General features: G+C 38.9%; 1 protein-coding gene across 2 annotated transcripts in view, besides 2 other annotated features; it reads right to left on the bottom strand.

Moving 5' to 3' along the window:
* IL1RAPL2 (interleukin 1 receptor accessory protein like 2) overlaps nucleotides 1-23,833 on the bottom strand; it is a 1,201,631-nt gene that overhangs the window by 115,782 nt on the left and 1,062,016 nt on the right. The window lies entirely within an intron of this gene.
* Nucleotides 3,127-3,633: an enhancer, noted in NCBI's record as "NANOG hESC enhancer chrX:104892408-104892914 (GRCh37/hg19 assembly coordinates)". NCBI's record gives its function as "activates a minimal SCP1, AML or CMV promoter by ChIP-STARR-seq in primed H9 embryonic stem cells {active_cell/tissue: H9 hESC(primed)}" and the evidence as "EXISTENCE:reporter gene assay evidence [ECO:0000049][PMID:30033119]".
* Nucleotides 14,955-15,479: an enhancer, noted in NCBI's record as "NANOG hESC enhancer chrX:104880562-104881086 (GRCh37/hg19 assembly coordinates)". NCBI's record gives its function as "activates a minimal SCP1, AML or CMV promoter by ChIP-STARR-seq in primed H9 embryonic stem cells {active_cell/tissue: H9 hESC(primed)}" and the evidence as "EXISTENCE:reporter gene assay evidence [ECO:0000049][PMID:30033119]".

Raw genomic sequence — 23,833 nt, 5'->3', positions numbered from 1 at the left:
AAATTACTGAACCAAATGGTTATTTTGACATAGACACTGCAAATGTGGCTCTAAAGGCATATACTCGGTGAAGGTCAAGTGAAAAGTTTATAGATTATATGAGAATATCATTGTATGGGATCACATTTTCTCATACTGCATTACATTTTGAAATTATAAAACAATAATTAGTTATTAAATTGGCTTAAAACACTAATTGTGCTAAATACTGTGCAAAGCGTGCACCTGCTTTCAGGAGGTCTTCACAGGGGAGTAAACACATGACTGAAAAGTGAGAGAATTAACAAAAGGAGAAAATACAGTATTGGAAAATAGAAGAACAGTGAGGCAGAGTTGCAGTTTTCAACAATCCAAGAGGGTACAAAAGTCACATAATAAATTTCCATAACTAGGAATAACAGAAATTGAAACCCCATTAAGTGAAAATATAATGCAAATAGCACATTGTAAAATGAGCACCTTGGGGGACATAGTGCAAATAATATATAAAGATACAGATTTCACAGAATTATAGAACTAAGAAGAATCTTGAGATATCATTTTGTCCATTCTCTTGATCTTCATGCAAAACCTCACCTCAGCCATCTCACACAAGACAGAATCTATCCTGTTTGAAACCAAAATGTAAAACAGCCCAGAGGTAATTGTATAATCTCTAAAGTAATGTATTCTTGATGTTTGACATCCTTCATTGCCAGGAAATTCTTCCTTAAGCTTTCTCCTGCTATAGTGTCATTTCCTGTGTCTCCACCCTCTCTGCAGATGTGGAGCATCTGGTCCTAATGATTGTCTTTCAGGTCCTAGAAGACCATTACTAAGTCACCTCTTAGCCAGCTCTTCTATGGGCTGAACAATCTTAATTCCCCTTGGTTTTCATTCTTCGGCTGATTTTCCTGCTGTTTATCATGTCTGTGTGGGATAGCTTTATAATAAGAAAAACAGCCTTGCTGTCTTTCATGCCAAATAGTCACACAATTAAAGCTCTAACTGTTTTAAAAAAGAGCATATATCCGCCTAGGTTCCTAAGGCCAAGAATATTTTAAAAACTAGCTTCTTTTCCTTTTCTCAATGACAAATGCCAGTGGAAAATCTTACTTAACCTAAAAAACAGTATTTCTCTAAGGAGTTGAACTGTGCAGAAGAATTATTTCTGACGTGGACAAAAATCAACCTTTTTTTCTGTCTTCATGGGTAAATTGCATAGTTACATAAAGGGAGAATTTACTCAAAGTGTCACTGACACAGGAAGCTTTACCAACTTACATAGCCTCAGGCAAAGGTTATGTTCCTGAACTCTGAACCTGCCTTTCCTAGCTCTCCTCAGTAACCCAAATAGAGCTAATGATAGAGGGAAAAATCCCAGGCCTTCAAATGATAAAGTAACATTTTCCCAAAATGTAAGGGACAAAGACTAACTGTCAGAGGGTTTAGAAAGTCATAACCAATTCAAGGTAAAATGCCATGTTTCTTTAAGAAGAGAAGTACAGTGCTATATCTAGAAAGAGAAGATTTGGGGAAATGTCACATTTTTCAAAAAATATCAAGCATTTTCCCCAGCCCCACCAATTTGATTTGGTAAAAATTTGAAGAATATGAGTCCCAGGAACCCTGGTCACAAGCAAACAAACAAAAACACATAAAGAACTTTGGTCTTATTCCCTAGTAGAGTAATAGCTGGAACTCAACCACGCTGTGAAAGTGCCATCGTCCTCCATTACCATAAGGGTATGTCTTCAAATGTCCCTATAAACCAGTGGCTCTCTGTTAGGGGCAATTTTGACTTCCAGAGACCATTTGGCAATGTCTGGAGTCATTTTTGGTTGTCATAACTGGGGATATTGGTGTTACTAGCATTCAGTGGGTCAAAGCTTGGGATGCTGCAAAACAACCTATAGTGCACAAGATGGCCCTCCACAGCAAAGAATTGTCCAGCCTGAAATGTCAAGAGCGCTGAGGTTAAGAAATCTTGGCCTAAAGAGTGCCCCTTGACCAACACCACTAATTAGGGGAGGACAGCTCCTATTAGCCCCTATATCATAATCTGCTGTACTCGGAATGCTGGTCTTTTACCAGTGTTCTGCGTGCTTGGCCCTACTACCTCTCTCCTCCTCCTTACTTTCTGAAGGATGGAAAGACCTCAGAAGACTTGAGATATCTTTTCTCTCCTCCTTGGGAAGACAATGCCCAATTGCACCCCTAAGTGCGGTATATTTCCTGTTACATGTCTTTCAATCTCTTGTCTTATGGGAAATTCCAGAGAAAGCATATGACCTTTCCCTTGACATGACAGGAATGTTCCTCTGTAGTTTACAGAGGACAAAGCTTCTTTGCCCCACTCCTTAAACATTTCCATTTCTACCCACAGGCAGATTTCCTACACTCCTTGGGTCTGACCTCTGCCTCTCTGTAGCTTCCATATGCACTCAACTCAAGTATTTGTTGAGAAGTTACCTACATTGTGATTTGAGCCTGGCCAATATGTTTTCAAGTTTGTAGTGACTATTATTTAGTATTGGAAATAATAGAGTCATTCTGGTTAATCAAAGTCTCTAGTTAACTGTGAGTCATTAGAAATACCATAATAGACTAACTGTTTTATCAAGAAGTTGGAAAGAAACCAAATACACTAAATGCTAAAACTATAGCGAACATCATGTAATCTTTACTTGACAATTTAAATGGCTCATTAGGATCTTTTATTGCCTGTGGGTCATGGTTAGCAGTCTTTCTCTATTTGCCTCTTTTTGCTTGACTGATGCTGGCTAAAGGATTTAGTTCAATTAACAAATTCTGGAAAACAGAATTGGGCCCTGAGTGAATATATTGGCAGACTAAAGAAAGAGGATAAAGGTGACCATGTTATGGAAATTTATTGTCGAAATCTTGACACATTTCTTTTTATCTAGAAACATAGAAAATATGCAAAGCACAAAGTTAAAAATAATGATATAGTGCCCTCAGTTGCATATTGGATGTACACTAACTTTCAGTTGTAGCTTCCTATTATCATCTACCATTAACACAGAAAATGGTACTTAGGCAATCTGAAAGGCTTTAACCCCAGCTTTAAATAGCCTACAGACTCTTCTTACCCTCAGGGACCACTAGGTGTACTGTATTCTTCTTTGCCTTCAGCCTAGGGCTCTGCGACCACACTGACACTTGGGATTGAGTGCACTGGTAACCTTGCCCTGTTATTCCTTCCCTGACCTTTTCAGTGGCTTCACAGAAATTCCCTACACTAGGGCAAGTAAGTGAAATTAGTGATCAGCTTGCCTGTGCCTTTTGCCAAAGGAAGAATCACAGTTTTGTTGCCTTGGAAAACAGAATACATTACAATAGCTCAGTGCCAACTACGTTAAACACCTAACAGCTTCTTCCTTAGTATAGCAAACTCTACAATGCAATAGTGATGCAGCCCTGAGGGAAGGAGAATCTGTCCTTTCTTTTCTATTTTTGTGAAGAAAGCACTTCACTTTGTGAAGTGCTCTGCTGATTACTTGTAGTATCACAGACCTGGTGAAGTTGTTGAGGGTAGTTAAGCATATCCATTTGATTATTAAGTTGCATCTAGAACTTGAAATTCATTCTTTCTCTCTATTTCAGTTTTTATCTTGTTTTTAAAAATTCTAATTCCATATCAGCCTGAGACAACCTGCAGAAAAGAAACTGGACATATTCCTAGCAAGTTAAGCCACAGGCAGAATTTCCAGGAGCCCAGACCCCTGTATTGAACATGTTCTACTGCTCATGATTTCTATCATAAAAGAACAATACAATTCTGGGTACTAGAAAAATTCCTGATTCCCTTTTGTATATTATCTAGCAGTTTTCTTAATGAGAAAAGGCTGTCATTCATTTAAGAAGCTGCTTCATAAGAACTGCCATTAGTAGGACAGTTATCTTCTCATTAATATGAATGAACGTATCAAGTTCTTACCATGTTATTGAGATTTTGCCTACATTATCATAATTCTTCCCAACAACACTGCAAGATATAGCAAAGGCTTAGAGAACTGAAGTAATAATTGCAAGTTCTTTTTCTTACATTGTGCTATGGCTACTGAGTCATTGGACTGCTCATCAGGTTTAACTTGTGACCAAGCAACATTGGCAAGTCAAAGTATAGAGTTGTATGATATATTGGTTCAAGTCCACTAACAAGCAGATGTCATGGCAAGATCATACCTGCAAGAGATTTGCTGAGGGCTAAAGAACCCGTGAGGGAAAATGGGGAGAGAGACAAAGGAGCCTGGCAGAGCCAAAATATTGTGATACTGTTGTGACTATTGAGGAGAAAGGGAAGAATGGAGAGTTAGTTAATGAGTCTTAAACTGCAGAACAATTCTTAAAAAGTTTTGGCAAAGCCAATGGGAAGTCCTAGAGTAAAAGCCATCCATCAGAGGAGTCCTGCTGAGAGACAGGACTAGCTGGATTTCCTAGGCTAAGAATTCCTAAGCCTAGCTGCTGAAGGTGACTGCACCCACCTTTAAACACGGGGTTTGTAACTCAGCTGACACCTGACGCATCAGGTAGTAAAGGGAGCTCACTAAAATACCAATTAGGCTAAAAGCAGGAGGTAAAGAAATAATCAAATCATCTAAGCCTGAGAGTACAGGGGGAGGGACAATGATCGGGATATAAACCCAGGCATTTCGAGCCGGTAGAGGGAACCCCCTTTAGGTCCCCTCCCGTTGTATGGGAGCTCTGTTTCCACTCTATTAAATCTTGAAACTGCATACTCTTCTGGTCCTTGTTTTTTTCTGGCTCCAGCTGAGCTTTCGCTCGCTGTCCACCACTGCTGATCACTGTTGTCACAGACCCATCGCTGGCTTCCACCCCTCCGGATCTGGCAGGGTGTCCGCTACGCTTCTGATCCAGCGAGGCACTCATTGCCACTCCCGATCAGGCTAGAGGCTTGCTATTGTTCCTGTGCAGCTAAGTGCCCGGGAGCTAAACACTAGTCGCTGGGTTCCACAGTTCTCTTCCGTGAGCCACGGCTTCTAATAGAGCTATAACACTCACCGCATGGCCCAAGGTTCCATTCCTTGGAATCCCTGAGGCCAAGAACCCCAAGTCAGAGAACAAAAGGCTTGCCGCCATCTTGGGAGCGGCCCACCACCATCTTGGGAGCTTTGGGAGCAAAGGCTGGCTGGTAACACTGCATCTCCCAGAAATGGGCCTGTCCTAGTGTCCTTAGTCACTGGCTGGGAGCAGTCTGTGAAAAGTATGGCCCCTAATGCAGTGGCAGATTCAGAACTTAGCAGCTGGGGCTGTCACTCAAGTACACTCCTCACAGTAAGAGAACTGAGAGGCAGATTTTCATTGCTGTCATGGGGATATAGGCTGGGATAGATTAAGGGTTTGAGGCTTTTGACCTAATTCAGAAAGTACACTTATCCACGTTGTACTAACCAAACTATTTTGAAGGTAGGGCTTTTGCCTTACCTGTTTTTATATCTTCCACTGCACCTGATTGATTAGGTAAAAAAATAGGTATTCAGTGATTGATGTTGACTCAATAGGCTTGACCAACAGCAGTCTGCCTTCCCACAAAGTAATATAAATGGTTTGATGACACTTTATAAAAATGGGATAATTTCTTTAAATGGCTCCTAAAACGGCTATCTCTAAAAAAGCAAAACTGGCAAATACAGCCAATTGCTATTACAACCATTAAGAAAAAGAATATTAATTATAAGCCTTTGCCCTTCCTAATCCAGCCCCTCTTCAGAGAATGAAAAGCCTCAGGGTTTGAACTATTGGACAAAGCTACACAAAATCACTGACAAATCAATGCACACAAATCCAGACAGAGACACACATATGCACACACACTTGCCCTCCCGCCAATTGCTATGATGTAATTTCAGCTTCATGTAATACAACCCTGCCTTTACCCTGGAGTGCTAAGCAGCTCTGAACACAACGAAGAGCTTCCTTCAACCCCAGGTTCACCACTAAAGCAAAAAGAACAGCTTAGGAAAGCTTCTGGGTACCGAGTATGGGATCAGGTCCATGTCATGGGCATGATAGGAAAAAAAATCTGGAGTGGGAGACAAGGTGTCTGGGAAACTTGAAGTAAAGAAGGGCAAGGGAGAGCACAAGGGGAGAGAGAATAAAGTTGAACATATGCTGGAGATAGTAGCACAACTGTAATAATGATCTTGGGAGTGATGAGTCAGGCCAAGGCCACAGATTACCCATGCCAGCGACCGCAGACATAATAATTCACATGTTTGGGCAATTAACCTGATAAATGCCAACCATAATATTAGCTACCATGTATTGAATACTCATTATGTGTCAGGCACTGTGAAAAGCACTTTACCTGAGATACCTTTAAAAACTTGTTTAATAAAACTGTGTGGGGTAGCAATAGATATACCCCATTTTCAGATGAAGCAACCAAACCTTCAGAGATATCAACTACCTTGAGGAAGGTCACACAGCTAATAAATGGCAGAACTCAAATGGGAACCAAATACTGTCAGATGCATTTATCCTCCACACTATTTTGTTTCCATACCTATCAAGACTATTCATATTACTTATTTACATATATTGTCTGATCACATTGCATTTGAGACTTTTGGCCCGTAGCTAAGATTAGACATGGTCCCTGCTATCAAAGACTACAGATTTTACTATTTGATTAGAGGAAGTACACTCAACTCCTCAAAATATACACAAAAGCAACCCAGGAATACAAAATGACAGTGTATTGGGAGAAGGAAATTGTTATGGCAGGTTGGAGGCTGGGCCCATTGGACAAAGCTTCCTAGGGATATGGCAGCCTTGAACTACACAATCAAAGAGGGAAAAAATACAGCATGATGGGACGTTTAGGACAGAAATTTGCCAGCATGTCATGAGAATAAATGACACAGGACTTGCTGCATGGCTGCCTAGAAAAGGAGTGCTGAAAACACAAACATCAAACCTGAGAATTGTTTCTGAAGCTACAGGTGTGATGGAAAAGCTTGCTTGAGGCACTGTTCACAATAGCAAAGACTTGGAACCAACCCAAATGCCCATCAATGATAGACTGGATAAAGAAAATGTGGCACATATACACCATGGAATACTATGCAGCCATAAAAAAACAGTGAGTTCATGTCCTTTGCAGGAACATGAAGCTGGAAACCATCATTCTCAGCAAACTAAAACAAGAACAGAAAACCAAACGCTGCATGTTCTCACTCATAAGTGGGAGTTGAACAATGAGAACACATGGACATAGGGAGGGGAACATCACACACCGAGGCCTGTTGGGGGGGCATGGGAGGCTGGGGAAGGGATAGCATTAGGAGAAATACCTAATGTAGATGATGGGTTGATGGGTGCAGCAAACCACCATGGTACATATATACCTATGTAACAAACCTGCGCGTTCTGCACATGTACCCCAGAACTTAAAGTATAATTAAAAAAAATAAGAAAATAACAAGAACTTGAAGAATAACAGTAGAAACTAGCCAAAAAGGAGTTCAGACAGAACAATATGAGGGTCTTGCTTTCACTTAGAAGTTAGTGGGCATTTTGTCCCTACTTCTTTACCAGAAAATTTAGCAGAAACGATTCCTGAATGAGGTTGCTGTGGCTTGCTTGACAAACCTTATGATGTTATTTATCAATTTTTACTTTTAATTTTATGGGGGTTTGGGAGAAAAGGAAATCTTGATTGTCTTAAAAATCTTATCTCTGATATCAGAGAGATCAACTTCTGAGCTGCCATCCTCATGACCTTTTTCCCCTTGCTAATGCCTGACACACCCTTAATATTGATTTTCTCATCAAAATAAACACCAAAACCCAAGTAATGAGAGTTCTGACATTTTAAAATCATGTGCTCTTGGCCAGACTCAGTGGCTCACGCCTGTAATCCCAGCAATTTGGGAGACCGAGGCAGGCAGATCATAAGGTCAGGAGATCGAGACCATCCTGGCTAACACGGTGAAACCCTGTCTCTACTAAAAATACAAAAAATTAGCCAGGCGTGATGGCACGCCCCTGTAGTCCCAGCTACTCAGGAGGCTGAGGCATGAGAATCGCTTGAACCTGGGAGGCGGAGGTTGCAGTGAGCCGAGATCGTGCCACTGCACTCCAGCCTGAGGGACAGAGTGAGACTCTGTCTCAAAAATAAAGAAAGAAAGAAAGAAAAAAAAGCTTGCTTTAATATGTGCTATTGAACCATAAGACAACAATGTCAATATGAGACAGACAAGTCATCATCAGAAAGTGTTCCCACTGGGTGGGATCAGATCACCAGCATACATGGCACTCTCTTGAGGGGTTTCAACAGAGGTGCCAAGGACTGACTGGACATGAAAGGTGGCAAATGAACAGTGCCAACAGGAGCTTGCCCAGCCGCTGACACTGTGTAAAACTTTGTCCAGTTGTGAAACTTATTCTAGGCCTGAGCAGATAAAATTCTGGGACCATCAGCTTGCATCTGATTCTTGCAAAGAAGCAGAGGGCCAAAAGCATGATCCAGGGAGGGTACTCATTTGACTTGTTTTCTGTCAGCCTGTGGTATTGTTTCTGTCCCTGTCACTAGTCCTTTAAATGGATCTGGATCATCTCTGTAATATGCTAAAGGCAACATGCAAAAGCCCAGGTTCAGGAACAGAATTCTGCCTTGGGTCTTTGCTCTCCTGCTTGCCCGTTTCAACCAGATCTCTTTTCTGACTTTCAGATCCAAATGGTTCTAAACTCTGGTTCTAATGCTTGCCTTAGGCACTTTTTTATTCAACAATCTATTTAGACTTATTTCTCTGGTTTATTTACCTCAGCTCTCTGTATACAATTTTCAACTTTCAACTTTGTACACACCATCACCGTTACAAACACCTGCAGCTGTAGGTGATAGACAGTCCTATCACCCACCTCAGCCCTGTAGGGCCCACACCAGTTATGCCAGCTTACATGGAATCCTTGCCAAGATAAGAGATGAGACACCTGGCATAGAGGAATATTTATCCATTGAAAAGTCAGTTTGAAAAACACAAAAGTTGTATTTGGTTGCACGCTGAGGCTTCTAAAAGCCCAAAGGGAAATTATGGAGGACAGAGCTTTGTCAGTCAAGATAATTAATTCTAAGGTATGTAAGGAGACTATGTTTTGAGCAAAGCATATGATGGCAGCATGCCCACAGAAGCAATTGTTACATAGTAAGAAGAAAACTGGCTTAGGTGTCAGGAGACTTGGGTTCCAGCTATAATCAGCTACGAATAGTTGTGTGAGCTTGGGTCAGTCCTGTCATCTCTCTGGGTTTTGGTTTTCTTTTCTAACAAGAAGGTATGGGTTAAATAACCTTCTGTGGTCAATTCCATTTCTCATCTTCTAGGATTCACTGATTGCTTAACAGGCAGTTACAAGTGAATAGAGTAGAAATTCGTCTTTGTGGACGCCCTGAAGCCTGATTGCCAATGAGGGTTTTACTGGGAAATAATAGCAATAAATTACAAAGCTGAATAAGAGAGATCAGGAATTAAATGCTGGTTATGTGTTGTGGGTCTGAGGGAAGGAAATGCAGTTGGTGAGGGATAATTCATTTGAAACGAAGACTTCAGGTTGATTAAAAGTCTAAAAGTAGGGTTGTTAAATAACTGAATTATATGTGTGTAATGATGTTTAATGATGTTGTTTAAGAAACACTGAAGGAACCCAATTGACACCAAGTGCTTCTCTGATATTCTACAATTCCACTTGCAATTCCTACATTCTTTGCATCTGTATATTACTTGGGAAGTATGATGCACAAAACCAGAATTGGTCACTTAGGTCTGAGTATAAACTAATTTATTTAGATTAGCCAACCACCTAGCAGGGCTGTGAGGGAATGAGTTGCAGGATAGGTAAATGTTGATGGGGCAGGAGTGAGGGCAGGAGTGGGGGGCTGTGCAGGGAATATGGGGGAAAAGGATCCAGACCATTGGGGGCTATTTAGGAGTAGAGATCTGGTAACACGTTTTGCCCTTCTTCGTCAGTAGGGATCCCTAGGCAGTCAGTGAATACCGTGAGGGAATAAGGAACTTGAAGAAACCTTGCGAGGTTAAAAAGGGACAATACTCAAAAAGGGTCAGAAAGTGAAAGCAGAGGCATAGGCTTTGTAAACATCAGTTATAGGATCACAGTCAAACATCAAGGTCCATGCCTTTCTCTTGAGCTCCACACCCATGTTTTCAATTACATACTGGATGTCCATATATGGGTGATCCACCAAGCACCTCAAAACCAAAATATGAACAAATAATCAGGTATTACCAATATGTATAAATATATTCCTTCTGTACATATCATCTTGGTTGATGTAACTATCTTCTAATTACCTTGCTGTCCCAGTCAGTCAACAGAAGTCCTTCTGGAGTCTTTCCTTTTCCTCATCACTCCACCTCTATCATCAAGTCCTTAGATTCTAGAGGTTTTATTTCTTTTAAATAATAATTCAAATATTTGTTACTCCTCTCTCCATTATCTCTGTCATTACCTTAGTTCACATTCACTTTGCTTATTGTCTAGATTACTGAAGTAGCCTCCCAACAAATCTGCCTGTATCCAGCCTTTCCCCGTGTTATGGAGGATCTGCTGTCAGTTATAGTCATTGTTGAATATCAAGATTGTCTAGTCATGTTTCTGGTTTCTACTATTAATAGATGTGAGCTCCCCAGACAAGGGCTACATCTTATTCTTCTCTGTACCCCTTACCTAGCAGAGTGCCTGGCATAGAGAAAATTTGCTGAGTGAATAAATGAATGAACAAATAAACTCATAGATTTTACTTAGAAATGAATTGTTAGATCCCATATTCTAACCAGGCAAAAATAAAATAAAATAAAATAAAAAGCCCTCAAGCACAAATTAAGTACTTTTGTGGGTTGACATATCAACTCAAGAAAATCTATTTTCCCAATGGCCTCACGTTTTTATTTGCTGAATAAATTTCAAAACCTTTCTCAGGTCCTCCAATCGTAAGTATTTATACTCTAAATCTAGCTAATTTGTGCTTAATTTTTTGTATGTTTACCATCTACTTTCAATACCATATTTACTCAGTCATCAATTCCCTTTATAAAGAACTACCCAATTAGGACTCCCACAGTGCTTACACTGGCTTTGTTGCAGTTGTCAATCAGTTCCAGCCATTAATAGATTAGTTGGGAAACACAAGAGCCTGGACTTACTGGAGGAGAGGAAAACCCACAAATGGGCAAACCTGTTTGGCACTCTCTCTCGGTCTCTCTCTCTATCTATATCTATATCTATATCTATATCTATATCTATATCTATATCTATATCTATCTATATCTATATATATAGATATGTGTGTGTATATATATGTATATGTGTGTGTATATATATATATATATATATATATATATATATATATACACACACATACATAATTTGTGTACTTTAATGATCAATGCTTGCACTAGTTTTTAAAAACTTTTGGGACTTTTAGGCAAATAGCTTGTTAATCAACCCCAGTCTTTTTGGTCATATCTGTGCACAGTGAAAACAAACGATCTCAACAGTTTAATATTCAAACACAAAACTCTGTCCTAGAGGATCCTCTTGCAACTGGGCCTCAATGGCTGTGGGTATTTTGAGCCTGTTGCAACATTATTTGTAGCTCCCACACGAAAGAAAATAGACTGAAATAGCAAGAAAATTTTTGTCATGGCTCATACAGAGATGGAAGAAGGGTCCTAGGGTAGGTGTTTGGAAGTAAATGTGTGACTGGTCCCTGCTGATGGTAGGCATTCCTGAGAAGCCAGGCCACTAACTTTTTTGCTAATTCATTTTTTTTTCAAGTGAATTGTCTCTAATTCAAATTCCCAACACAAACCTAAATGAGTTTAGATATGAGTTATAGCAACAGTAACAGCTACTAAATTTCCCTCCTATATATTTCAAAAAACACAAGCAATTCCTATAGTCTTCAGTTAGATAGAAAAAATAATAAATAGATAGATAGATAGATAGATATGCAGATAGGTAGAGTTTTGGATTTTCACAGAATATCTTTGGAGCTTTAGTAGATATTAATATAAATAATGGTAAGAGGCAGACTCCAAGTTTGACATGACTTGACTGGCTGTAATGAGAAACCAATGACCTCACAGAGGACCATGAAAAATAGGAGACCATACGGTACTTGTCATTTCTGCCAATAGGCTTCATGTCTTGGGTATTTAAAATGCATGGCTTTTGGCTTTTTTGTGTGAATGTGTTTTTTGTTTCCTTTTTCCTTTCTTTCTTTTTTTGGTGCAGGGAGGAAAGGAAAGGTAAGGAGAGTAGCCTAATAAGGGGATTTTAGTTAGTAAAAATAAAGTTGAGAATGGATGGTTATTCTAAAATAAAGATGAGGAGTGACGATTATTTCTGTAAAGGTAAATGAAATTATAAAATTAAAACCTTTTATGGAGAGTAATTAATTCCAGTTTTCTACAAGGGTTCATCATTTTTTAGGCTCTCCATTTTTATAAAGTATTATATTTAATTCGAAGCACAGAGCTCCTCTGCTTTCAGATGTGTACTAGATCATCTATTACTTACCCTTTTAGAATTTCTTTTCAGTATCACCTTAATGGTGACATTCTGAATGCTGCACCGATGTTCACATCTTACTTGTGCCTGATTTCACGAGAGCAAGATTTAGCTTGGCTCTGTACAGAAAATGCCCAGTGGAGAGTTATAGCAGGTTGTGTCCCATGCAATATGGTGAGTTCCTGATGGCTCTTAGGTAAGGATTAAAAATTATACAATAATGGTATAAGATCAATTTAAGAAATAAATGATTTCAAATAGTAAATTGATAAGGCATGGAGATATGCAGAGTGACTTAAATTTGAAATATTTACTGACTTTTCTCCTCAGCACAAACCTGACAACATCCATACTAGGTCTTAGTATGTAATACCAAAGTGGTTATAACTTAATACTAACTGGGAAATACTCGCATAAAAAACAAAATTAAGGCTCCCCTAATAGAACTTATATTTCTACTTAGAGTTCCTCTATGGCTAAATTATTACACATTCTATGTGCCAGTTAAGATTTAGAGATGAAATACCAATTTGATCATTAATGTAATTTTTTCTCTATTCTTTTTCCACTGGGCGTAACTCCTGGATGATTCTGGGAAAAGAATAAGAAAAAAATATAACCCAGGTCAACATAAAAGCCTGAGATGGATCAAGTGAATCCCAGCATATGAATTAAAGAAATCTGTTCTTTTCAGAATAACATCTACCCTGCACCATACATGGTGCCCACAAATGTACAAAATTCCTGATACCAAAACTGAAATTCTTTCATTTTTTTCACAAGATTTAACTCAATTGCAATTTAATTTTCTCCAACAGTTTTAATTTCTTAGAATTTTAATGCCTTCTTTTTCCTTTTCTCTTGAATAGCCATATTTGAAGCAGTGGTTCCTTTCAAATGCTTTCATGTTGATTAGAATTATGATTCTTCCACACCATTAAAGGAATCTCTAAAAGGAGTCCGTCCCTGGTACAAGAAAAAACTTTCCGCATTGCAGGGCTAATGTGGACCTGAGGTCACCTGAAAATCAGAGAGTAAAATCATATAATTTTTGAGGTAAAAGGTTGTCTTCCTCCTTCAGACTGGTAAACCATCCAGGATAAATGGCTTTCTCTTTACCCCTTCAAATTGTCTTTAATAATCATGTGGTCTTTTATGAACAACCCATCTGCCCAAACAGCAAGAATAACATCAAACAAACAAGTAAAAAAAGAAAAAAGAAAAAAAAAGAAAAGAAGAAACTTTAAAAATGTTCCATAATGTCTTCTAGTACTGCCAGTCTCAATGTTGTAGCTATATGATGCTCTTCCTTATGTCTAACTGCAGTCTTTCCTGCTTCAATGTATGGTTATTCCCATTTGCTAAGGAAAGGAATATGAGAGGTAAATTTAAAAGGCAATTTGTTCAAGTTGAGTCTTTGCTATAGTATGTCTGAGTCTGCAAATGAATGGAAATGAGGAGGGGGTGTGGCAAATAATTTAATATTAAGAACAGACAACTGTCATTCAGATTTTCGTCAGAGGCTCAGTGTTATGCCTGGACAGAGGAATGCAACAGAATGTGTCTGATCAGATTGAGGGAGTCACTTCAAAATTTCCTCTGTAAAATTTAAATTTAGTTTTTGATTTCTTAGAGTGACTATTCCAGATGGGCCAAGTGGCTCAGATAAAATAGAAACTGACCTACAATCAGTCTTCCAGCTTCAAGGGAAGGAGAAATAGCGCTTGGTTGAGGTTGTTTTTCCTTATGTCTAACCATAGTCTTTCCTGCTTCAATGTATGGTTATTCTCATTTGCTAAGGAAAGGAACATGAGAGGTAAATTTAAAAGGCAATTAGTTCAAGTTGAGTCTTTGCTATAGTATGCCTGAGTCTGCAAATTAATGGAAATGGGGGGGGCAAATAATTTAATACTAAGAACAGACAATTGTCATTCAGATTTTCGTCAGAGGCTCAGTGTTATGCCTGGACAGAGGAATGCAACAGAATGTGTCTGACCAGATTGAGGGAGTCACTTCAAAATTTCCTCTGTAAAATTTAAATTTAGTTTTCGATTTCCTAGAGTGACTATTCCAGATGGGCCAAGTGGCTCAGATAAAATAGAAACTGACCTACAATCAGTCTTCCAGTTTCAAAGAAGGAGAAATAGAGCTTGGTTGAAGTTGTTTTTCATTTCTAAATGTCTCTGCACTGAGGTGAGATATATTCACTGCCCTTTTCATGTGGAAAAACACCCAAGAATAAAGATTGAAACAAAACAATATGAGTGGTGTATATGCAGAGAGAAGGCTTTCTTCCTAGCAGGCAGAAAGATCTAATAAAGAGGTAGCTATTCCTTCCTTCCTTCTTCTAGCTCCTCTCCACTTTCCCTTTCCACTTTCTTACTTTCCCAACCCTGGAAAAGAGAAGGCTATTTATTCAGATTGTAATCTGGAACCTATAGCCCTCATCTTCTCCTATGACCCAATAGCCCAGAGGTTAGACTTAGTGCCATTGTATACTCCCCCCCACCTAAGACTTTTGGCTCAGTGACCTTGATGTCAGACACTGAGGATGAAGCCAGGATAGTGAGTTGCAGCTGTTGCCTGTAATGTGACACCTGGGGGAATTCCTGGCCCTTTTTGCAGATCCCTATAAAAGCAACAGTAGAAGGTCAAAACTCATCTCAAATATCACCTCCTTTGGGAAGCCTTCCCTGAACCCCGCCCACTGCCTCCTTATGTAGTTCAACAGTGTTTCATGGTTTTTACCTCAATCACAGCATTCATCAAGCTGTATTATACTGTGTTGATTTCTCTGCCTCATCCACTAGGCTGTGAGATCTTTGGGGATGTGAACTCTGTCCTTTATTTCTGTATCCCCAGTGTGTAGCACAGAACCTGGCATATAGCTGACTTTCAGTAAATGTTTGCTGAGTGAATGACAGTTTCACACTAACATCTGTCTGTATCTAAGGGTCACCTGGGGTGGGGGGTTGTAAATTTTTTCTCTGTTTCCAACATTTCTGTGAAAATTCAACTATCAGAGAGATAAAACATATTTATTATATCATTATCTAATACGCTGGCACCTTAATTCATTCATTACTTATAATTCCTAATTAATTATATTTAGTGTTTCAGTCATCTCACATTTTAAATATTATATTTTTATGAGTAACAGTCCATGTAATATATACCAAGTATAATAAGTAATTATACTTAGGCAACTAAGGTGCTTACTGAATCAGACACATTTTGATGAGATCAGGGAGAGGAGAAAAGGTTAAGAACATGGGTTACCTAATAAATGTCTTTCTTCTTTCTAATTTGAACCTTCCCCCTTGTCCTCTGAATCTTATTCCTCCTTTCTCTGCCACATTCCTGTTCCATAAATTATGCCCTTTCTCCCTCTCCACTGGCTACTCTTCAGTCAACAATAGGTTCATTCCTCCCCTATTAAAAGAAACTTCCCTTGACTCTTCTGTCCCCTCAGGCTACCCACTCCCATTGTTTACCTTTCTTTGCCACTCCCTCTAAACTATAGACAGAATAAGTTGATAGCCATAACCTCCACTGTCTTACCACCCACTCATTTCACAATCATTCTAATATCTGTCCTCTCCCTTCTAGTCAATCTGTGCTCTCTGACTCTTACCCTTATTACTCTGCCAAAAACCTCTCTCTCAAGGGTGAACTCCTGGTAAATAAAAATGAAATGGAAATAGATCTTAGAGATTAAGAACATAAGCTTCAGAGTTAAACAGATTTAGGTTTAAGTCCAGGCTGTGCCTCTTAACTAGCTATGAGGTCTTGATCAAGTTTTTTAAGTTCTATAAATTTCAGTTTCCTCATCTTTAAAATCGGGAAAATAACAGTCCCTACCTCACAAGTGGTTCTGAAGTTTAGGTAGACAATTGCTGTTGTAAAGTGCTTAGCATAGTACCAGAAGCATAGAAAGTGATCAATAACTGGTAGCAAGCTAATCTACTATAAATCCTGATTCTCTTCAATTTTTATAGCATTGACTAAAGTAGGAACTAAACACCTTCTTCTGGCACCCTGACCTTCCGTGGCACCCACCATACTGTCAACCTCTGGTCTTCTTAATATTCTAACTGCTTTGTTTACATTTACATAACTGATGGCTCTTCCTCTTCCTACCCCATCAGTGTGATCATGTCCTAAAATTCTGTTCTTGGCCTATTCGTTCTTTCTCAATGAAGATGAAAATATTGGTGTGAAATTCAGGAGCAAGGTTATCGCATGTGTCAGCCATGCTCATCGTCTTTCCTTCTACACTGGTTTTCCTCCTTACTTGGCTCTTTCTGTCACTAGCACCACAAATTTTGCTTTGCTCCAGGGAAACTATACCATTTGCAATCCTCTAAACATGCCACATATGCTTTACAACCTATACGGTTTTGCTGGTATTGGTCCTTTTATTTTCCTGTTAAAATCCAACACATTCTTCAAAGACCATCTTAAATGTTGTCTCTTTTGTGAAGTCTTTATCAACACAAGCTCTGGAATAATTCTAGTTCCACTACTTTCTAGCTGTGTGACCATGGGAAAGTTACTAAATTTCTCAGCTTCAGTTTCCTCATAAAGAACATGAGGATAATCATGATCCCTAATGGATCAAGTTTGTATGAGGATTAAATTAAATAAGAAAATTCTTACAAAAGTGCTTTGCATGGCATCTGACATATGATAAGCCTCAATAGATAATAGTAATAATTACTGTTGTTGTTACTACTATTATGACTACTAGTGACATAACTTCTTCACTTGGAACTCCAGAGCAATTAAGTTCTGCCTCTTTTATTGCATTTTCAACTCTAACTTTTGTAAGGATTATTATGTACATACTTGACATCTGTCATTAACCCCCTCCAACTATTAGAATATGAGGGCAAGAACCATTTCTGCTTTATCTGACTGTGTATGGACTCAATATGTTTTTGTTGAATTTAAGTACATCAAATCCTATTTGACAAAGGGACAATCCTGCTTGTCCCTTTTGGCATTTTTCTTTGTTTTTTTCCTTTTTTATTTGGTTCCCAAGGAAGCAGTAGTGATTAGTGTAAGAATGTAAGGTACTTCATTGTAACATTTTCTCTCTACATTTGAATAGATTCTGGCATTTCTTTGTGTGGTTTCTCATGGCAAATTGTTTACTTAGGGATTGTGGTGACTGGAGGTAAGTGGGCAGGGGGCTTAGTCTTAGAGTTAATGAGAGCAATTGTAGGCCTGATTATTAGAATGGGAAAATGTACCTTTCCTTTTTGTACTCTTTTCAGATACTATCACTTATCTTTCTCTTTTTGAACTAGGAAAGTCAGTCAATATGATTAATTGATTTATTTCAGTGTACAGACACGTAGACACTGAAAGGCAAATAAGGGAAGTAGAAGACGCACTCTCAACCCTAAAATGAGCTCAGTTGAGGCCCATAGTCTTTTTCCTTAGCTCTCAGGGAGAACATTAGAAGATGAAGGAAAGGAAATAAAATCAGAGTAAAAAAGACTTCTGTTGGTGGCATTCTTAGAGTGAAATCTAGGCAAAATCATAAAATAAAGGTATTGGTTATGTATTCATATACTTGCCCCCTGATCTCTCCATGTAACCCCTTCTGTGAGCCTCTTCAGGTGCTGGGCACCAAATATTTTCTCCCTAGGCTCAAATCCAAAACCAAGTATCTACCTCTCATTCACACTTAGGGAATAAATCACTAAGAACAGCTTAGGGAGTTTTAGTGGGTGCATGAGTGTGTGTATATATATGTGCATTACATTATATAAACACTAATCAAAACTTTAATGGTGAGATTTTAAGCATTAGCCAATAGTGGAAGTGGTGCGAGAACCCTTAAGTGATAAAGAAGCTTTCCTAGGGCTTTTAAGTCCACATCGCATAGGTCAACTGCTCTGCCTACATAAAAGGTCTACCCTAGTAAACCTGTTGTCAAGTAGGTATAAGGCTCAATAACAGAACTATTAGTGTTGACCTTTCATTTTTAAATTTTCGAGACTCAAGCAGTTGTTTCTGTATTTATATTCTTTGAAGATCAATAAACAAGGGTGGGAAATCAGTATGCAATTAGACAAACTCAACAAAGATGATAATTATTTTATCACTTTGGGTTTATTGTATCTCCCTTGGGAAAAAATAGAGCAAAGAACGATTATCAAAAATCACCTTAAGTAAGAACTTATGGAATTATGGATGGTCATTCTCTAATAGGTTCATAACATGCTGCATAACCTAGCTAAATTAGTTTTTGGTTGCCCCCTTTATCTAAAAGATCTCTTGATCTAAACGACTATATAACAGTAAAGAAATGTTTACCAACGAATGAAACAATAAAAATGGGAATGTAGAAGCAGCATCTCAAGGCTCAATGCACTTGATCTATCTTCATGCTTGGCCTACAGCCCATATTTCTCTTTTCTCTCTGAGAGGCGGGAGAGGAAGTTTCCCTAACTGGGAGGAAAGTGAAATGAATTAATGTGTTGACGGTGTACCTTCACACATGAGCACTAAGAAAAAGTTCTTTACCAAATTCCTTTCCTCTAGGCAGCAAAGAAGATAAACTGGGTTTTGTGTAAAACTTGCACAACTGGGTATGGCTGAAACTCACCTCGTTGAGAACTGGCATGCATGATTAGATTTGTCTTAAATGTTGACTTTCCCAGTTGAGCAAGTTGACCATCTTGATTTGTTATATTTGGAGTCAATTCCCCAATAATGACAAGTTTTACACAAGTTAGATTATATGGCCTCAGTGAAAGTACATTATAATGAAAGGGTAGAAGAGCCCACAGCCTATCAGAACTCTAGTATTAAAACTTCTGTTCTATTCAGCAGAAATAAAACTGAGCTAACATCTTGTTTAAGATTTGAAATCATTTCCCAAAAGTGAGGCGTCTGTATGGGGGCAAAAGAGAAGAGTGATTGCTGCCAAGAATTGTTAATAGAATAAGTTCCTCCAACTTCTTGCTCCACCACCTTCAATAAAAAATGACAACTTTGACTTTCCTCTTGATGCTGTCAACAAATCTCATTCAATACTGATAGAAGAGGAACATTTAAAAAATCTATGGTCTCTCAAGCAGGCCAAATTCTGAGTCCCCATGTCAATGTCAAACTCTGTCAGCTGTCGAAAGACAAAATGTCTTATTCCCAGAAACATATGGAAGCCTAGAAGAGTGATTCACCCATTACATTTAACTAAAAAGAGTTTATTGACCATTTGCACAGTATCCAGCCCTAGATTCAGTGGAGAATATAAAAGCATGTTGCAGGGACTTTCATCTCAGAGAGTTTATGAGGATCACATGGGACCATCCTGAAGGTCAGGGTCCGGTGTCTTCTTTAGTTTTTTGTGGCTGTCAGCCGAGTTAAGCCATAGTGAGTTCAGACAGGCTTAAGGCATAGGCAGAAAAGAAAAAAAAAAGGGAAAGGAATAAGAGAGGACTGGGGAGAGTAAGGGAAGACAAAGGAAAGATTGTATGAGAATCAAAGAGAAGAGTAAGATACAAAAGAGGAGGGGGTGAGGGAGCACTAATGAGGAAGAGGGAAGACTGTTCTGGGGACCTAAACTTTGGGTTGTCTCCCTTCTTTAATTAATATCCACACTGATTTTAAAACTGCTGGATTCGTTAAGTCAAAAGCCAGAGTCCACAGGTAGATTAGTTGTGGTTTCGTGCTAAGGCAACTGAAGGAAGGAAAAAGGACAAGGATTTTTGATATGCTTGAATTCTTTCCTATCACTCCTGCCTATCACAATGTGAAGGCCATGGAAGTGCCAAATCTTGCACTGAGACCGGATCTTACCTTCTCATTTCATAAGGCATTGAAGCTTGAATGGTGCCAGGCCATCTTGCCTTTTATAAAGAGGCTACATTTCCAGTCAATAGGTGTCTGGGCTACTATATTGCCCCTTGCAGACGCAAAGTCTGGGTTTGTTTGTTTATTCGTTTCTGAAAATGGAGGGGATCCTGGTAGAAAGATGGGTTGTGTTCTGAGAAAAGTAGAGTCTGTCGGGGCAGCATGCCCTCACCATTTCTCTCCATTTTCTATGAAGAAGGACCAGATGGGATGATGGATGGTTGGGGTGTTTATATCTATTAAATATGCCTAATCTGAATTCTCGGCAATTAGTGCTATTCAGCTTTAACCCTTTGGCTGGGCTATTCATTTCACCAGATGTACCAGATGTACTGACTAAATCTATCTTTACTTCTCTGGCATCTCCTATTTGCCTGAAAACGTTCCCTAACTTATAATGTGTCATTTTAAAGGATACCGTAGACACATTTCAAAGGATAGTTGTGGAATGCACCATTTTTTTTTCTCCCTATCACAATTAGATTTATGTGCAAAAGGGCTATGCAAATTCCCTGGCTGATTTTCTGGAGATTCACATTTCTTTAAGGAATTCTACCCCACAATTGGATCAGATCCTTGCATGAAATCCTCCCATTCAGATTCCATTCTTAAATTCCAGTGGTGAATGTAAAATAGCCTCAAGTTATTATATAATCATGGAATCGCAGCGAGGGAACTTGCAACCATTTAGTTATCCTCATCACTTAAAAAATGAGGAAACCTAGACCCAGAGAAGAAATAGGTTTTGCCCAAAATCACATAGCAATTTATGGCAGAAGTAGGGCCTCTGACTTGAACAGAAGTGAATAAATAGGATAATAAAATGGGTCATACTTGATATCTCTGTTCTTTTTTTTAGGTGATTTATTCTTCTCATACTTCACCTTTCAATTTTTTGACACTTAATTCACTCAATTGACAATTAATTCTTACTTTTCAGACCATTTTCATTTTTTTTCCCTAACACCCAGATGAATAATCCATTCTCCACTTTGTTGAAAACCTTTAAGGGCACAGATCGAATCTTCAACATTTTATTCTCCCTAGCGCCTTTCACTGTTTGCACATAACTCTGATAATTATATGGAGAAGCAACACCCTTTAGTTAAAAAAAAAAAAAAAAGCTCTGAATTTGAAGCCAGACAGACTCAATTTGCATCTTAGCACTGATGCTTACTAGCTATGTTTCCTTGAGTAAACTCTTTGCCATGTTGGAGCCTCACTTCTGCATCTATAAAATTGAATGAATAATGGTATCTACCTCTGGGGTTGTTGTGATAATTGAAGTAATACATATACAGTGCCTAGTAGGGTGCCTGCACTAGTAAGTACTCAATAAATGGTGGCCATTTATATTACTGAATAAAAGTGTGAGTGAATACTTGAATGTTAGAGAGATTTACTCTCAATAGGAAGGTCACAGGGAAGAGGTAAACAGAGGGCCAAGAGGGGAAACTGAATAGCTTCCCAAAATCCCTTTGGGTTTGGGTTTGAGTTTGAGTTTGAGTTTGAGTTTGGATTGCTTATTTGATTTACTGTTGGCTTAAAGCCAATCTCTGGAATATTCTGGAATTGTCAGAGCTGAAGGGGGCTTTAGAGATCACTTTGTTCAAATCTCTCATTTTACAGAATTGGAAAATGAGGCTGAAAGGTAAACTGAATTCAACTTGGTCACAAACCTAGTTGAAGTAGGACCATAATTTCAGTCTCAAAGCATTCCTCTCCAGTACTCCAATGCCTGCTTTTATAAGGCACATCTAATTTCAAACATCAGCACACACACAAAACATACTCCAAAGTCCACTACATCATTTGGGCATTATCTAGCATTTTGGATTAGCCATTCCTCTGCTCCGTTTCTTTAGCATGAATAATTTAACAGATGGATACATAATTTGGGGGAAAACATGAAGATTTAATTCTTAAGTGGTGTGTGTATGATGCATGTGTTTATGTGGGTTTTTTTGTGTGTATCCCTGTGTACATGCTCAGTGAATGAAATGTACAGAAGAGAAAAATTGAAACCATATCAAATAGAAGACTGAAAGCAAGTTCATCAACTCAAAAGCAAACTGTTGTGGCAAGTTGGCTTCATGGAATGGGAGAGAGTAGCACCTTGGATTACTCCCTTTCTTTGAGGAAAGGGAATAGGCAGTGGAAACTGAATGAGATGAAGGGACTTTTTAACTTCTGGAGTTTTTTTGAAATCTCTACATCACTAATCTCTTCTTCTGTCTCCTTGCCATCACATTGCAACTGTCATAGAACCAAATGGCCATTTCAAAGGATCAAAGACAAAAACAAGAGCCTGACAGGAGGCTGAAGGCATCCTAAAACATGACTCAAGAAACATTTTTCTAAGTTGGCCAGTTCAGGCATACAAGGATCAAGGAGACCTGGCAACAGGGAACCTACTGCTTCTAAGCCCACTGGTTAGTCTCATCAAGACCTGGGCTGTTTTCCCAAATGTAGTGTAGAGAAAAAAAAAATTGAATGGAAAGCTATACATGGTTTAGATCACAACCCTTCAAGTTATCTGATTCTAGTCTTTCACTGTGTTTGAGCAATTTTACAACTCTCTAAACTGTGGAAAACTGAGAGCAATGCAGAGTGATTCTTGTCCACAGACATGTAAACTTCCAGTAAATGTTCAAACCCCTGCTCAACTTTTTTTTTTTTTTGAGATGAAGTCTCATTCTGTTGCCCAGGCTGGAGTGCAGTGGCACAATCTCAGCTCACTGCATCCTTTGCCTCCTGGGTACAAGTGATTCACCTGCTACAGCCTCCCAAGTAGCTGGGACTACAAGAGTGTGCCACCACGCCCAACTAATTTTTCTATTTTTAGCAGAGATGGGGATTTGCCATGTTGGCCAGGCTAGTTTTGAACTCCTGAACTCCTGACCTCAAGTGATCCACCTGCCTTGGCCTCCCAAAGTACTGGGATTACAGGCGTGAGCCACCATGCGTGGTCCCCTGCTCAACTTTGAAAGAAGCCAGTGTGCTTCCATTTCCACATTCATTTCAATCTTTCTAATTTATAAATGTGTCTTTCTTTTTTCTTGGGAATTCTCCCTTTGACTGTTTATAACACCCCACACGTTTCCTCATTATTGAGTTAAACAAAATCTTTAGTGTTTGTTCATTTTTATATCTGTATGACAGTCTTAATTTTACAATTTTTTTTTGTAAAATTATCTTTTAACAACAGCCATGCCAAGGATACAAAGGCCCCTGTCTATTTGGTATCTAGACAACATACACAGCAGACAGCAGACTGTAAAAGTTAGGAAGGATTTGGCAAGTCATGATTTTCCCAAGCTTCATTGACTAATCTCTTTTTTGAGCTATGGTAAGCAAGCTGGGTCTCTTCATTTTTGAACATATTTAACTAACCTGCACGTTGTGCACA

The sequence above is a fragment of the Homo sapiens genome, chromosome X (assembly GCF_000001405.40).
Source record: "Homo sapiens chromosome X, GRCh38.p14 Primary Assembly".
Taxonomy (NCBI): Eukaryota; Metazoa; Chordata; class Mammalia; order Primates; family Hominidae; genus Homo; species Homo sapiens.
Note: the sequence above shows the minus strand (reverse complement) of the source record. Positions and strands in the feature narration are given on the sequence as shown.